Source organism: Homo sapiens, chromosome 7 (genome assembly GCF_000001405.40).
Source record: "Homo sapiens chromosome 7, GRCh38.p14 Primary Assembly".
Classification (NCBI taxonomy): domain Eukaryota; kingdom Metazoa; phylum Chordata; class Mammalia; order Primates; family Hominidae; genus Homo; species Homo sapiens.
The window spans coordinates 35,336,413-35,352,889 of record NC_000007.14 but is presented as its reverse complement, the minus strand read 5'-3'; the positions used below and the strand labels follow the sequence as shown (position 1 = coordinate 35,352,889).

General features: G+C 43.2%; 1 long non-coding RNA gene across 1 annotated transcript in view; it reads right to left on the bottom strand.

Annotated features, from left to right (window-relative positions):
* LOC401324 (uncharacterized) overlaps positions 1–16,477 on the bottom strand; it is a 62,622-nt gene that overhangs the window by 23,587 nt on the left and 22,558 nt on the right. Inside the window, exon 2 of the long non-coding RNA NR_038864.1 lies at positions 499–599. This is a non-coding gene — a long non-coding RNA (uncharacterized LOC401324). The remainder of the gene's footprint in view (positions 1–498; positions 600–16,477) is intronic.

Here is a 16,477-nt window from a genome sequence, read left to right as displayed (position 1 = left end):
TGAGTAAATGCTATTCATACAGAATCCAGAGTCTATGTACAAGCAAATTTGGAAAACATCTGGTTGAGCAAAGTTTAAAAAATTTACTTTAGGACCCTTCCAAACCTTTAACGATGCTGATGTGTAAAAGAACAGGATAGGATTCAGTGTTTCCCAAACTTGTTTGCCTGTAGAACCCTTTCTGCCAGGTTGGAACACTTGGAAGGGCTGGTGCCTTGTCAAGCTTCTCAAACTTCACTGTGCACATGGATCCTAAGGTGTCTTGTTTAAATGCAGATGCAGATTTGGGAGCTCTGGGATTGGGCTGGACACTCTGTATTTGTGCCAAGCGCTCATGGGATGCTCATGCTACTAATCTGAAGACCACACTTGGAGACTCAAGACCCTAAGGGGCTATCACATGGCACAGATGTTTGGGGAAATTCTCTTTACTGGGAAACAGCAGAAGAATCTAGTCTCAAATCAAAATATGTTTGGGGCAGTGGAAAGAATACTTACCAGGAGTTGGAACATCCAATTCTAGGTGAAACAGAAGAACTGGCCCCAGCTGGGGGAACTTGGATAGGTCATTTCTCTTCTTCAGATCTCGGTTCCCTCATCTGTAAACATGAGTAGGAGATGCTGCACTAGTAATAGTAGCTAGCCCCATAGAGCTGCTGTGAAGATGAAATGAAATTTTGTGAACCAGCACTTAGCACAGTCTCCAGCAGTAGGCCAACACTGGTTAGAATGTTAAGCCACCTTCACACTGAAGCTAAAACTTTGTGTTGGAATCACACTTATGGTTGCCACAACCCTCTTAGTTTTCCACAAAATACATGGCTCAGCCATGTTGACCCAGACTTACCTGCCTTCCCTGCCATCCATTGCCCAGATTGGGTTGAGCAGATGTAGGTCTTCCCATGTACTGACAGACTGTCAGAGGCTGCCCAGAGCCCTGTGCTGAGAAGGATGCTGTCAGGGCTCTATGGGAAAGAGCTCCTTGACTGATTAGCCATGACTGCTATGGGTGTTGAGAGGAAGAGCATATGCCACCCACTCTTGCTCCCCTGGCCCAGCTCCCCACTTTGCTTATAATCACACAACTTTTATAAAATGATGGCAGCCTCCCTCCTCATGCTCAGCCCACACATAAAATCTCCTCTTTCTTCAGGGCACAAAGCCAACAGGTAGCCATGCAAGCAGCTATTGACCCCACGCTGCCCTGCCTTCCCCACATTTAAGTCTGGTCGGCGGGCTCAGGCCTATGTTCTAGGACCAAAAGGGGCGACTCTCCTGTAGGGAGGTTTCAAGAGGTTCCCTGAGCCTTAGGTTTTTGCTAATCTCACAGATGTCTGATTGTTCCCAAACTGGCCTTATCACCATTCTCTATTTTACTGGGGTTGAAAGGATCTTCAGGCCACTTCAAACATGGGTAAAGCCATCGATGCCATGCTCAGTGACCTCTGTCTTCAACTGCTTCTGCCCCAGCCCATATTGCTCTAGTTACAAAGGCTCCCACTTCAGTCTAGGCAACTTACCCCTGCATCCAGAGAAGTGGTGCTGCATCCTCTTCCTCAGACCAGAAGCCTCTGCATCATCATGGATGCTTTCCTCTCCCTTGCCAACTCATGCCTGGCAAATCCACATCCCGTTGCACAATGTTTGGAAACGACAGGCGCCCACAAGGCTAATGTACCTCACATCACCATTCTCAGATTCATAGAGGTGAGCCTGGGTGCCTGTGAACTGCCCCCGTCCCTCCTCCTGGGACCTGATTGATTGGCTCAGGGGTCAGCCTGAACCCCAGTTGGACCATGCAGCGTCCCTTCCATGGGAGTGAGAGAGAAGGCTATACAAACTCAAGAGCTGTCATGGCCTTGCTTCCACCCCCGACTTCTCCACTCCCCACACCCCACCTTCCCCGCCCCCTAGGCACATGGGGAGGCAGAGGAAGCCAATCTGTAGATACAAAGGAGAATGCAGAAGGTGAAGAAAAGAAAGGAAAGAGGAGAGACAGAGAGCCCTGGCAGTAATGCTCCTCTGCCCAGGGTTCTGTCAAACACCACTGTGCCTTAGTGATAGAGCCCCCATTCTGCTTAAATCAGCATATGGGTATTTCTGATTTAAGCAACTACAAAAATTCTAACCACAAGGTCCCCCAACTCTATCATAGTGATATGGCTCAATCTGAGAGTTTGTTTCCTTCTCAACTGGCCCCATCCAGGATACGACCCTTCACACTTAGATGGTTGCAGTAGCCATCTAGTCATCTGATTTGTCACTTTTATAAGATTATTGTTTTTCTAAAATTAATACAAAGGAAATAAACATGAAACATGGGTGTATTTTTCCTACTCAAAGACAGTCCCAATTCCCCATAGTTACATTCTTAACTCTTTTGCTCACTATTCGAAGTTCTTGTAGATTTCAAAAACATGATCAATAGTCACTACTCTTAAAGTAACAAAGAAGGTGATACAGCAGATGCTGCAAACTGGCTCATTCAATGCTCATTTCAGCCCCTTCTAGCACCTTCCAATCCCGAACAGGCTGGAAAGTCAAAGACTGCATTTCCCAGCTTCTAGGGTTCTGGGTGCATTTAGTTTCCACCGATCAGTACATATATGAGGATGATAAGGAACTGAGTCAGATAGAGGGAGAGAGGCAAGGAGCACGTTTCCTCTCCTGCATTCAGAAAGAAAAAGAATGACGGTTCTGGAAGTTCTCTCACAGAAGTAAGGAAACCCTTAGCCCATATCTTCTCCCTTCTCATTGGCCCACATTAGACCATGTAACCATAACTGCATCCATTGCTGGGATGAGTGGATGATATTATGTCGATTAGTGTAGGCCTGAGGCAGAGGTGTCCCCGCTCCTAGAGCCAAGAGTGGGGACATTTCCCTCACCACACATGTGAGGTGTATGGAAGAGGTGGACACTGAGATAAAATCCCAGATGACGACAAATAAAAGAAAAATGTTGGAATGGGAAATACAAAGACTACTTCTTCTCTGCTATGGTCTAGGTCCCTCCAGGGCAAGAATCTAGTCCAGCAGTTCTTCCAAAATGCCCTCAGTAATCATTCATGCACACATTTCTATTTCCACTGGGCTTAAAGTGACATTGGCTAGCAGGTATCTGTCACTTTGTTTTCCTCTTTAGTTCAAATTGCCTCTCATCTGTGGGGGCTATGAAAAGTGGACAGGGGCAATCTATGAAAGTGTTAATTAGAACCCAAGTTTGTGAATTCCATTTGGTGAGTAAAGCATCATCCATATTTTCTAAGTTGGTGAGAGTCTAGGAGTTGCTGTCTTCAGTGGAGTTAATGTTGCAAGCATATCTTATTATGATGCCAGCCATGTGCCCTCACTGGAAAATAGAAGTGAATAGCCTCCAGCAGCCCCTACCCTGGGTAAACTTATACTTTGATGAGGAAGAGAGTCATTTACCAAATAAACACATGTCATTACTTATATGCTAATTACAAGTGATCTGAGTGCCAGAAAGGAAAAGTATGGTCACTGGAAACACCTTATGCCTCAGTCCTTCCCTGTGAATATCACACTTCACTTCCTTGGCCCAGCCGCCCCCAACACATAGCTACCTTGGGCATCATTTCTGAGGCTGCATGGCCAAAGCCATAAATCTGTGCCCTTGTTTAGCGTGGCATGTCCTCTCCCTCTAATCCAATCTCCCCTCTGTGTGTTCTCGGTGCTCGCTGATTCGGTTTGACAGCTATTTAATAAACCGATCTGCTTGCCTTTGACATGAGGCAGAAGTGGTGGGTGTTGAAGAGCTGCGAGGCCCTCGTGGACAAGGAAGCCCTTTCCCACTCAACACTCTTCCAGCTCAGTACAGATAAATTGTGGAGAACTGGAAATTAACCCAAGCTATCTTCTTTTCTTAAGAAAAAAAAAAATCACTGGAGACCCAAGAAGCAGAGCAAGTACCATAAGTGAAAGAGATGGCAGAAGAAATCACATTTCCTGGCTCTCAGGGCAGGGGTGAACCCAGATCAGGAGCCTGGGAGCCTTCCTTCAATCTAGCTTTTATCACTTCAAAGCAGAAGGTCTTAAAGGAATGCCCTTTATGATGGATTCTGTCTTCAAAAACATGAAAGAAAAGGCATATTTTCTTAAGCCCAGTTGCTGGAAGCCAAGCAATTTATCCGAGGTGCTTGGGCTGCAAATCTCCGTAATCAGGATGCAGTTTAGTGTGGCAGAAACAGCACTGGTTCCACAATCAGCAAACCATACTGGGATTCTGGCTGCCTCTCACAAGCTTTATGACTTTGGGTCATTTTTCTCAGCTCTCTGACCCTCAGTTTCCTTCTTTATAAAATGGGCATGCCATTCACCTCACAGGGTGGTCATTAAGATTAGATGAGAAGGCATACGGGAACATTCGTGGTACATAGTAGTTGCTCAAAGAATGGTAGCTAATTTTATTGTTTATTGATAGTACTTAAAAAAAAGCACATCTGCTACCCATTCCATCTCCAAGTAACTATGTATCCCTGTTTTTTATTGGCGTATCATACAGAATATATTTACTTGCATTGCACTTGCATTGGTGGAGCCCAGGATCTATTTACTCTATGTTTTCAGCTTTGATCTTAGGGTATAATATCATTTCTCACATTCTAATATCTCTTTAAACAAAAAATGGAAGATGTACAAGCCAGGCCTGGGTTATTTTTGAATAGGAAGTTTAGACCATTGGCTTAAGAGTATGCAATCTCCCCTGAGAGTGGATATGTTTATCTGGCTGGGCCAGTCAGAGCAGATGTGGTTTCAAGACTAAATCTAGGTGTGTTCAACAGCTAAGACTGAGAAGAGCCAAGGGGTTTGAGTCCAAGCTGTTCTTCATGGACCAACAACAGTTCAAGGTAGAAAGTGAAGTTTGGGTGGCAAAATCCAGGAGCAATGGTTATGCCAACTACCAAGTATGACAATTCCAATTACATGTTCAGGAACTGGGAAAATGATACTGGGTGGTTCCAGGAGGCCAGTGAGCCTGCGGCAAGCTGGACTAGGTTCAGGGCTCCAATTATTATCTGTTCCTCATACACTCTAATTCTAAAAGGTAGGCCATGGTTGCTTTGGAGGCTCCTGGGCATCAGTGTCAACTCCCTAGGTCAAGACCTTATGTTATCCAACAATTTCTAAAATACCTATATATATTCTTCTTTCTTCATTGCACGGTTATCTGAATAAGTAGCCGAAAGGAAGGACTGGAAAAATTACTACTGAGTGACTGGGAGAATTACTACCGAGTGACTGGGAAAATTGCTGCTGAGTATGCATGCTGTGGCTTTGCAGAATTGTTCCTTCAAGGGACTTGGCCTGTACTTCGGTCAATGGTTTCCATGTCTGAGAATAGCCAGGAATCTTGAATTTTCACTGGGGCTGCTGTCCACAGGCATCTGACCATTCATCCTTGTCTTCTTTTGATTGCACATATTAAGCAATGCTTTTGTTTGTTGCCCAACTCTCTCAGCCCTAGGAGCACAAAATTCTGTCAACCACCTTCATCTCTCCGTTGGTCTGTCCTCAAGGCCACCACTCTGCCTTTGCTGCTTATTGTAATAATTGTGCCCACATTGCTTCTGATAGTTAAGCGCTGCCACCTGCCCTCTACGATTTTGGGATCCAGCCATCCCCATTGCTCTCAGGAGCTCAGTTTCGTATTCACATCTCCTGTTGGTAGCCCTGGTCTATGAAGACAATCACCGCTGAGCTGCATGACAATTTTAGTACATTCTTTGGGCCCTCGTCCCAAACTTGGTCAGTTGGTAAGTTTCCTGGCCTTATGAAATATACCTGTTCTAGCATACCCAATTCTTCGAGGCTTTTGATTCTTTCCTCCCTATCTGCCACAGCAGTTCTGCAGGTGCTCCTTCACTTAGTGGAGGCCATCACTTTTCTCAAGCTTCCAATAGCCATTCTAGCAACCCATTAGCCTGACTTCGGGATCCTTGCCAAGGAGTTAAATCCTAGGTACTGGAGAGTTCCCCATACCAATACACTCTTCTTTATCCAACTTTATTTCCTCCTCTTTTGATCCTGCACACGCAGGGACCCATCAGTACATACTAGCTAGATCCTAGCTTTAACACTTGTTATTGGTCTTATTGCCAGGAAGTAAGTGGGATGGTGTGAGAGGCAGTGAGATCCTGAGTGAGGACAAACACTGTTTTGTAATTATTTCACTTGTGCTTTTTGCATGTTCTTCAAGCAAGGGGAGGGCTACTATTTTCTAACAGGTAAGAGTGAGCCACTTGCACCAAGTGGGTTCAGGGTTATTTAGGCACTCAAGATTTTCATAGCAGATATTTCACACCCAATTATCAGGGTCTCCTTCCTTCTGAAACAGAGTTCTGGCCTTTGGGAGGGAGACCTGCTAGGCTGAGAAGTCAAACTTCTCTTAAACCCACTGCTTATGAACTGGTGATTAATCATCCTGAGCTGGTTATAATCTTCTAAGAATCCATGCATGCAGCAACAGCCACTTGGTGCCACAGTCTTTGTGGTTACAACTTTTCTCGTTCCACTCAAGCTCACCAACTAATGTATTCCCATCCACTGATGTCCTAACCACATCCACTGTCAGTACAGGTTGTAACCATCACACCACGCAGTCTGCTAAGGACCATTCATGCTCCACATCCCACTAAAAATGGGATCTCGTTGACAGCCCTGGCTGTTTATCCAGCTTTAAAATTCCATTTTAAATTTCACGTTCTAGGACCAATTGTAGTTCCATCTTCTAGAAACAAATGCTGAAGTGGAAAATTATGTGCAGAAAGTTTACTGGTATATACTCTCAACAATAAACCTGTAAATAAATGAAGAAAGCTGGATTGGAAAGAGGGAGAAGCTAATCCACAATGAAGCTGCAGCTAAGGCTTTAGCTAATTCTATGGGGAGCTTTGGAGAAGGAATGGCTCTTCAGAGTGTCTTAAAGTGAGGCAAGCAGGGCAGGTCTAGAAATCTCTGCACTGGACAGTCATTTGTTATGGCTCAGCCCTTGCAAGGGAAATGTCTGGGCAAGGCAGTTCCCTGTGACCAAGGGCAATGCTCAGTCGGAAATGCAGGTGTGGGTTATCCTAGCAGCTAGGGAATGGGCATGTCGGCCTTGAAGAGGGCAGCTGAGCAGAGCACCACAGTATCCACTTCATCATGTAACCAATATCTCACTTAAGATATAACACATTTCTGTCACCCTAGAAAGTTTCTCAGACCATTTGTCATCAACCTCCAGCCACTCAACCTCCCACCTCCCCACCACCAAGAGAAAACCACTGTTCTGATTCTATCACCATAGATGAGTTTTGCAAGTTCTTCAACTTCATATAAATGAAATCACAAAGAAAGTAATCTTTTGTATTTGGGATATATCTTTTTTAGATTTAATCAGACTTTTGTGAATGTCAGTTTTTGAAATGGTTAGTAATATTCCATTATACAAATGCACCACAAATTGTTTATCTATTTACTTGTTGATTGACATGTTAGTTATTTTCAGTTTCTTGCTAGTAAGAATAAAACTGTCATAAACCGTCTTGAACAAATCTTTGTATGAACAAATGCCTTCATTTCTTTCAGATAAATATCTAGGAATGAATTTGTGGCTCATGGAGAACATGTGTTCTCATTTTTGTTGTTGTTTTATTTCGAGTCACTTTAAACAAAGTGACTATTTTTTAAAAATATTAAATGTATTATATACCCTCTATATAATATACCAATAAACTATTTTATTGAGGTATAGTTGACATGCAACAAATGGCTCATATTTAAAATGAGCATTTTCGTCATCCTCTCAAAGTTCCCTGTATTCTTTGTAATCACTCCCGTGTATATCCCCATCCCCATCCCCCAAGCAACCACTGATCTGTTTTCCCTTACTATAGTTTGGATTTTCTAGAGTCTTAAATAAATGGAATCATATAATATGTACTCTTTTGGGGGGATGTTTGTCTTTTTCACTCAACATAATTGTTCTGAGATTCATCGATGTTGTTGTATGTATCAAAAGTTCCTTCCTTGGGAATGTGGTGTTTTTTTGTTTGTTTGTTTGTTTGTTTTTTGACAGAGTTTTGCTCTTTTGCCCAGGCTGGAGTGCAATGGCGTGATCTCAGCTCACTGCAATCTCCATCTCCCAGGTTCAAGTGATTCTCCTGCTTCAGCCTTCCAAGTAGCTGGAACTATAGGCACCCACGACCACGCCCAGCTAATTTTTGTATTTTTAGTAGAGACAGGGTTTCACCATGCTGGGCAGGCTGGTGTCGAACTCCTGACCTCAGGTGATCCACCCACCACGGCCTCCCAGGGAATGTGTATTCTTAACAGTTAAAGAACTGATCAACAGTCATCCAAATTATCCTCTTTTGCCCTCCCACCAGCAATATATGAGAGCTCAATTTTTCTACATCCAGTCGATATACTTTTGGTATTGCCAGTCTTTGTAATTATAGCCATCTTAGTGATTGTAAAGTGATAACACACTGTAATTTCTCATTTGTATTTTCCTGATGAATAATGAGCAGTTTGCATGTGTTCCTAGACCATTTGTGTGTTTGGAAAATGTCTACTCAAGTCTTTAGCTTTTTTATTGTATTGTTTGTCTTTTTATTATGATTTGTAGGTGTTCTTAATACACAAGCATACCTCAGAGATAGTGGGTTTGGTTCCAGATCACCACAATAAAGCAAATATCATAATAAAGCAAGTCACACAAATTTCTTGGTTTTCCAGTGCATATAAAAGTTATGTTTACATTGTAGTCTACTAAGTGTACAACAGCATTCTCTAACAAAACAATTTACATACCTTAATTTAAAAATACCTTATTGCTAAGAAAAGTTAACAATCATCTGAGGCTTCAGTTAGTTGTAATCTTTTTTATTTTTGCTTTTATTATTTTAAATTGACATGAAATAATTGTACATACTTATAGGGTACAGTGTGATATTTTAGTACATATATAGAATGTATTATGATCAATCAGAGTAATTAGCTTACCAATCACCTCAAAAATTTGAGTCATAATTTTTCTGCTGGTGGAGGGTCTTGCCTCAATATTGATAGCTACTGACTGATCAACTGACTGTGGCAACTTCTGAAAATAAGAGAATAAAGTTTGCTGCATTGATTTACTCTCCCGTTCATGAAAAATTTCTCTGTAACATGAGATGCTGTTTGGTAGCACTTTACCCACAGTAGAACTTCCATCTAAACTACAGTTAATCCTTTCAAAGCCTGCTGCTGCCTTACCAACTTAGTTTTGCATTTTAAATTCTTTGTTGTCATTTTAACAATGTTCACAGAATCTTCATCAGGAATGGATTCCACATCAAGAAACTACTTTATTTGCTCATCTGTAAGAAGCAGCTCCTCATCTGTTCAAGTTTTATCCTGGGACTGCAGCAATTCAGTCACATCTTCAGGCTCCATTTCTAGTTCTAGTTCTCTCGCTAGTTCCACATCTGCAGTTCCTTCCTCCATTTAAGTCTTGATCCCCTCAAAATCATCCATGAAGGCTGGAATCAACTTCTTCCAAACTCCTGTTAATGTTTGTGTGGTTAATATTAGGTGCCAACTTGATTGGATTGAAGGATGCCTAGATAGCTGGTAAGGTATTGTTTCTGGGTGTGTCTGTGAGGGTGTTGACAGAGGAGACTGACATTTGAGTCAGTGGACTGTGAGAGGAAGACCCACCCTCAATGTGGGTGGGCCCCATCCAATCAGCTGCCATTGCAGCTAGAACAAAACAGGCAGAAGGTGGGATGAGCTGGCTTGGTGAGTTCTGGCTTTCATCTTTCTCCCATGCTGGATGCCTCTTCCCATTCCTCCTGTCCTTGGACATCAGACTCCAGGTTCTTTGGCCTTTGGACTCTCGGACTTACACCAGTGGTTTGCTGGGGGCTGTCAAACCTTCAGCCACAGACTGAAGGCTGCACTGTTGGCTTCCCTGCTTTTGAGGCTTTTGGACTCAGACTGAGACACTACTGGCTTCTCTCTTCCCCAGCTTGCAGATGACCTATCATGGGCCTTCACTTTGCGATCGTGTGACCTAACTCTCCTTAATAAGCTCCCTTTTATATATACATATATCCTATCAGTTCTATCCCTCTGGAGAACCCTGACTAATACGATGTTGATATTTTGACCTCTTCCCCATGAATCACAAATATTCATGAATCACAAATGTTCTTAATGGCATCTAGAATGGTCAATCTTTTCCAGAAGGTTTTCAATTTACTTTGCCCAGATCCATCAGAAGAAATCACTCTCTATGGCAATTATAGCCTTACAAAATGTATTTCTTAAGTAATAAAACTTGAAAGTCAAAATATTTCCTTGGTCCATGGGTTCATTGGTTGCAGATGAATGTTGTGTTAGCAGGTGTGAAAACAACCTTAAAGTCTTTGTACATCTCCGTCAGAATTCTTGGGTGGCCAAGTACATTGTCAATGAGCAGTAAGATTTTGAAAATAATCTTTTTTTCTGTACCATAGGTTTCAACAGTGGGCCTAAAATATTCAATAAACTATGAAGAGATGTGCTGTGAACAGATGTGCTGTCATCCAGACTTTGCTATGCCATTTCTGGAGCCCAGACACAACAGACTTAGCATCATTCTTAAGGGCTCTAGGATTTTCAGCATGATAAATGAGCATCGGCTTGAACTTAAAATCACCAGCTGCATTAGCTTCTAACAGGACAGTCAGCCTGTCCTTTGCAGCTTTGAAGCCAGGCATTGACTTCTCCTTTCTAGCTATGAAAGTCCTAGCTGGCATCTTCTTCTAATATAAAGCTGTTTTGTCTATAGCAAGAACCTGTTGTTTAGTGTATTTATCTTCATCAATGATCTTAGCTAGATCTTCTGGATAACTTGTTACAAATTCTACATTAGTACTTGCTGCTTCATCTTGCACTTTTATGTAACAGAGATGGCTCCTTTCCTTAAACCTCAGGAACCAATCAACCTCTGCTAGCTTCCAACTTCTGCAGGTTCCTCACCTGTCTCAGCCTTCACAGAAGTGATGAGAGTTAGGGCCTTGCTCTGGATCAGGCTTTGGCTAAAGGGAATGTTGTGGCTGGTTTGATCTGCTATCCAAATCACTCAAATGTTCTCTATGTCAGCAATAAGGCTGTTTCACTTCCTTTTCATGTGTTCACTAGAGTAGCACTTTTAATTTCCTTCAATAGCTTTTCCTTTGTATTCAGAACTTGGCTAACTGTTTGGCACAAGAGGCCTAGCTTTGAGCCTATCTAGGCTTTTGAGATGCCTTCCTCCCTAAGTTTAACCTTTTCTAGCTTTTGATTGAAAGTGAGAGACGTGCAACTCTTCACTTGAATACTTAGAGGCCATTGTAGAGTTATTAATTGACCTAATTTCAATATTTTGTGTCTCAGGGAATAGAGAGGTCAGAAGAGAGGGAGGGAGAGAGAGAGAGAGAGAGAGACGGGGAAACATCTGGTTGGTGGAGAAGTCAAAACACACACAACATTTATCAATTAAGTTTGCCATCTTATATGGGCACAGTTTGTGGCACCCCAAGGCAATTAGAATGGTAACATCAAACATGATTGATCACATAGCACCAAACAGATATAATAATAACAATAACAATGAAGAAGTGTGAGATACTGCAAGAATTACCTAAATATGACAGAGACGCAAAATGAGCACATGCTGTTGGAAGCATGGTGCCAATAGACTTGCTCGATTCAGGGTTGCCAGAAACTTTCAATTTGTAAAAATCACAATATCTATGAAAGGCAATACAGCAAAGTGCACTAAAACAAGGTATGCCTGTATTCTGGATGCAAGTCCTTTATTAAGCATACACATTGGGATATTCCTCTCAGTCTTTGGCTTTCATTTCATGTTTTCAATGGTGTCTTTCAATGAGCAAAATCTTTTAATTTTGATAAAGTCCAAATTATTATTTTTATTATTTTATGGTTAGTGTTTTAGTGTCCTGTTTGTGGAATCCCTGCTCATCCCCAGGTTGTGCAAGTATTCTTTATTTTCTTCCAGAAGCTTTATTGAATTAGCTTTTAAGTCAAGTCACTCTTAATGCCACATATGGCTATTCAAACATAAGAAATCTTTGGTAAAAGTAGCCAAGCAGTGGAGTACAGAAAATGCGAAGGAGGTGGCAATGGGCAGGGGGCTTGAGGACCACAAAAGCAATGGGGTACCCAGCCCAGACAATCAAAGTCTCCCGATGCCAGGGAAACGTCCTCCTCTCTGGCTGTAAACTTGAAGCTGCTCTTCTCCATTAGAGCCAGGAAGGCCAGCTTTGCCTTTTAAAAAGGGAACCTGCAAATGGAATTCACACAGTGCCATGACCCTTGATGTGCAGTGTGGCAGGCTGTGGCCCGATTTACTTCCACAAGTACAGCGCACATTCACAGCTGAGAGCTTTCCTCTCCTGCCCTTTCACACCCGCCGCTTCCAGCAAGGCCTCAGCCTCCTCTCCCTGACAATGTTTTGATATGTTGGGCTGAGCCTCTACAAGGACTCCAGCTCATTTTTGGCTTCTGAACACACTTCTTTGGTCTTGTTTTCAAGGAGGTCAGCTTCAATTCTCTGTGACTCTGGCTTCACTCATTCTCACGTTTCAAGATTGAATCCAGGAGGCGGGCTGTACTTACTCTGTAGCTCTGTGTCCTGTGGCCTCCAATCCCCTGAAGCTCCTCATTTGGTTTTTATATCTAGATCCCTTTCAGGGTAAGATGAGGAAAGCCTGTACCCGGGAAATTGCCAGCCCCGTCTAAACTCTCTTCACAAGGAATCCGCCCAGCCCTCAGTCCTTTGCCGCCTGGGCCATGATTTGTACCTTGTGGTACCTGAGTCACAGATGATTGGGTCCATGAAAGTCACGTGACAAAGATCACATGATCTGGGAGCACCAATAAGAGGCTAGACAGCAATCTTCCATTGGTCCAATGAAAAGGTAAGGTACTCATATGATCAAATTCTTTCCGCTGAGAATTTGAACTAAAATACATGGAAAGAATTTGCCAAAATGCAGTTGGATGGAAGGCTACATATAGCAAGAAACAGGTTAGGTGGCTGGAAAGTGCCACGTGTAAGTCTAAGCAACAGAGGAGCAGAGACACTGAGCAAACAGAGGAAGCTGCAAGGTAGAAAAAGCAGAGCACGGAGCAGATAGAGCCAGAGGTACCAGGAGAAGACGCTGGTCCTACGTGTGCCTCCGTCCCCAGATCCCACAAGCAGACTCCTGCCCTGTTGTGTTCCTACTATCAGCCTTCACAGCTATTAGGTATTTTGTGAGGATCACTGTTTTCATCACCGAACAAGTTTGACAGAAACAGGAAGAGAAGAGGGGTGAGGCAGTGAAGAAAAACAAAATGAATCAAAGTAAAGTGAAGATGGTGGTTACTGATCACTCCGCAGCATAAACATTTGGGGACATGTTTAACATGACTTCACTCCATTTCCAGCAACACCCTTCCATTCCAACTTGCCTGTGAAGGTCAGTGAGGAGGCGCCTGCTAGACCTGTGAGGAAGGTAAATGCATTTTCGATGGGCTGGAAAATCTGTGTCATTGACGAGTGGCTCCTGCCTTATGCATTTTTTGGATATTTTGAAACCAAATCTTTTAAGTGCTTACTTCAAGGAGTGGAGTGTGGTTGGGCAATAAGAACAGAGGAACTGAATTGTGGCTTTTGAAAATGGCTGTCCGACTGGGATTATTGGACATTGTATAGCATCTTTGCAAAATTCTGCAGTGTCAATCCTGAGAGTAAGGTTTTTGTAAAAACCACGTATTAAGGGAGTGACATTCTGATAAAGACAGTGGTCACTTTATGCCCACAGAGAAACACCCACAGAAGATGGGTATTTTCTGGATTGTGCTAAAGGAACGCAGATTACAGCTACATGGTCTGGATGTAGTCAGCATTCCCACTCAGTTATGTGCACGAACCAACCACAGGGATGAAGTCAGTGAAGTTTATTACACACACACACACACACACACACACACTCCTTGAAAATAGAGGACAGATCAGAAAGACAACTAGTTCATGGGAATTAGCTATTCAGCAGAAAGCTTACCACTCATTGTGGCTACCTCAGCTGACTAGTAAGAAAAATCACAGCAGCAATGAGCAAGGAGTATTCTATCCCATCTAGGATACTTTATTTCCTTAGTGTAGGACAAAATGATGAGAAAGACTTCAAGGTTAAAGTAAAGGATGGTGTTTGAAGGCACAGGTAGTTAACTGAGACCCACAGAATCTTCTTTCTGGGTGTGAAAAGTATCCCATACTCAAAGAAAGTTTGAGCTGGAAGAAACTTAAGCAAAGCTAGTCCAAGTCCCTTGTTTAACAGGTAAGGAAGATGAGACACAGAGACCTTTGTGCAAAAGAAATTATTGGTTCTAAGTTTTGGGGCGGAGATCATAGATAATGGCATTCTATATAGCACTGAACACATCAGGACAACTACTGTGATAAAAACCACAAATAAGGGTAAAGAGCACAGAGGCCCAAGTCAAAATTGAATGTTAGCCAGTGGCTCCCAGCCGAACATAATTAAAATGTTCATTTGTTGTGCTTCTGTTTGAAAGTCGATTTCTCAAACTAGTTTTTGTGTGTTCAAAGCGTGTGGAACAGTCAGCAACATTTGTGTCATGGGAAATGTCTCAGCAATGTAGAATCTTAGACCCCAGCCTTGACCTGCTGTCTCACAGGCAGGTCCCCAGGTGATGTGTGCACAGGAGAGTTCGAGCATCCCTGTGTATTCAGTTTTTAGAGCTGCTCTAACAAATTACCACAAGCTTCAGTGGCTTCAAACAACAGAAATTTATTCCTTTAGTCTGAAATCAGGTGTCAGCTTCATCACACTCACTCTGAAGGCTCTAGGGTAGGGGTCCCCAACCCCAAAGCCACAAACTGGTCTGTGGCCTGTTAGGAACCGGGCCACACAGCAGGAGATGAGCAGCAGGTGAAGGAGCATTACTGCCTGAGGTCTGCTTCCTGTCAGATCAGCAGGGACATTAGATTATCACAGGAGTGGAAACCCTATTGTGAACTGAGCATGCGAGGGATCTAGGCTGCGTGCTCCTTATGAGAATCTCATGCCTCATGATCTGTCACTGTCTCCCATTCCCCAAAGAGATAAGACTGTCTAGTTGCAGGAAAACAAACTCAGGACTCCCACTGATTCTACATTATGGTGAGTTGTATAATTATTTCATTATATATTACAATTTAATAATAATAGAAATAAAGTTCACAATAAATGTAATGCATCTGAATCATCCAAAAACCATCCCCCTCCAACTCCCTGGTGTGTGGAAAAATTGTCTTCCCTGAAACCAGTCCCTGGTGCCAAAATGGTTGGAGACTACTGCTCTAAGCAACAATTCTTCCTTACCTCTTCCAGCTTCCGGTGGCTCCAGCAGTTCCTCAGTTTGGGCTGCATTTTTCCAATCTCTGTATCCATTCTCACTTGGCCTTCTCCGTGCCTCAAATCTCCCTCTGCCTTTCTTTTATATGGACTCTTGTCATTGGATTTAAGGCCTGCCTGGATTATCCAGGATGATCTTATTTTGAGATCCTTAATCACATCTGCAAAGACCCTTTTTCCAAATTAGGGAATAGGCACAGGTTCTAGGTGGACATATGTTTTGGGGTGCCACCATTGAATTCACTACAGTATTATAGGGGTCAGTGAGGTACACAGTCTCTAATATTCAAGGGCCTGTCACAGGGAAAGAGAAAGGGCTAGATGTCACATTGTGGGAGATGAAGTTCTGCTCTTAAGATTCCCCTACTTGTTATAAATCATTCAGCAAAGTCTTCGTGGGCTTTAATTATGGGAGAAAAAGAGAGGAGACAGAAAAGGACGGAGAAATTCTTTCGCAGAAGCCTCCCTGGGTCCTCATTGGAAGAAGTGCACAGAAGACAGTAAATTAAGTCAGCTTATCCTGAAAAGCACTGCTCTCTGACCACGAGATTAAAACCACACAAGCATTAGAAGTTGGTCTAAAACATATCTCTTTTCTGTCAGCAAAACATTCTCCTCTTGCCCTCTCTATCTAGGGCCTCCCTTTTCCTTCCAGCCCATGCCTCCCCACAGCTGGGTGCTCAGCCACTCCTAGCTGGGCTCAGCTTCAGCCTGGGAGCATATCCTGCAGAAGAGCCTCCTCTGGCTTCCTCCCCATCCCCACGTCTAAGGGCCCGGCCTGTCAGGCTGTCTGGACGCAGGTCTCTGTGCTAATTAGGAGCATTATCACTTTGCCAAGAACACAGACCCAGGAAAAAGCCTCTGTGAAATGTCCTGGACATCAGCGATCCTGACTGCAGGTGGCTGAACTCTGGCATCTGCCTGACAGCACGCTGCCTTGGTGCTAGCAAGACCTGAAAGCTACGGAGTTGTCCCAGTGCTGGGGAAAGGACAGCATCTCCCTTCAGAATCACATGAATCAGTCAAAGGATGATAAAA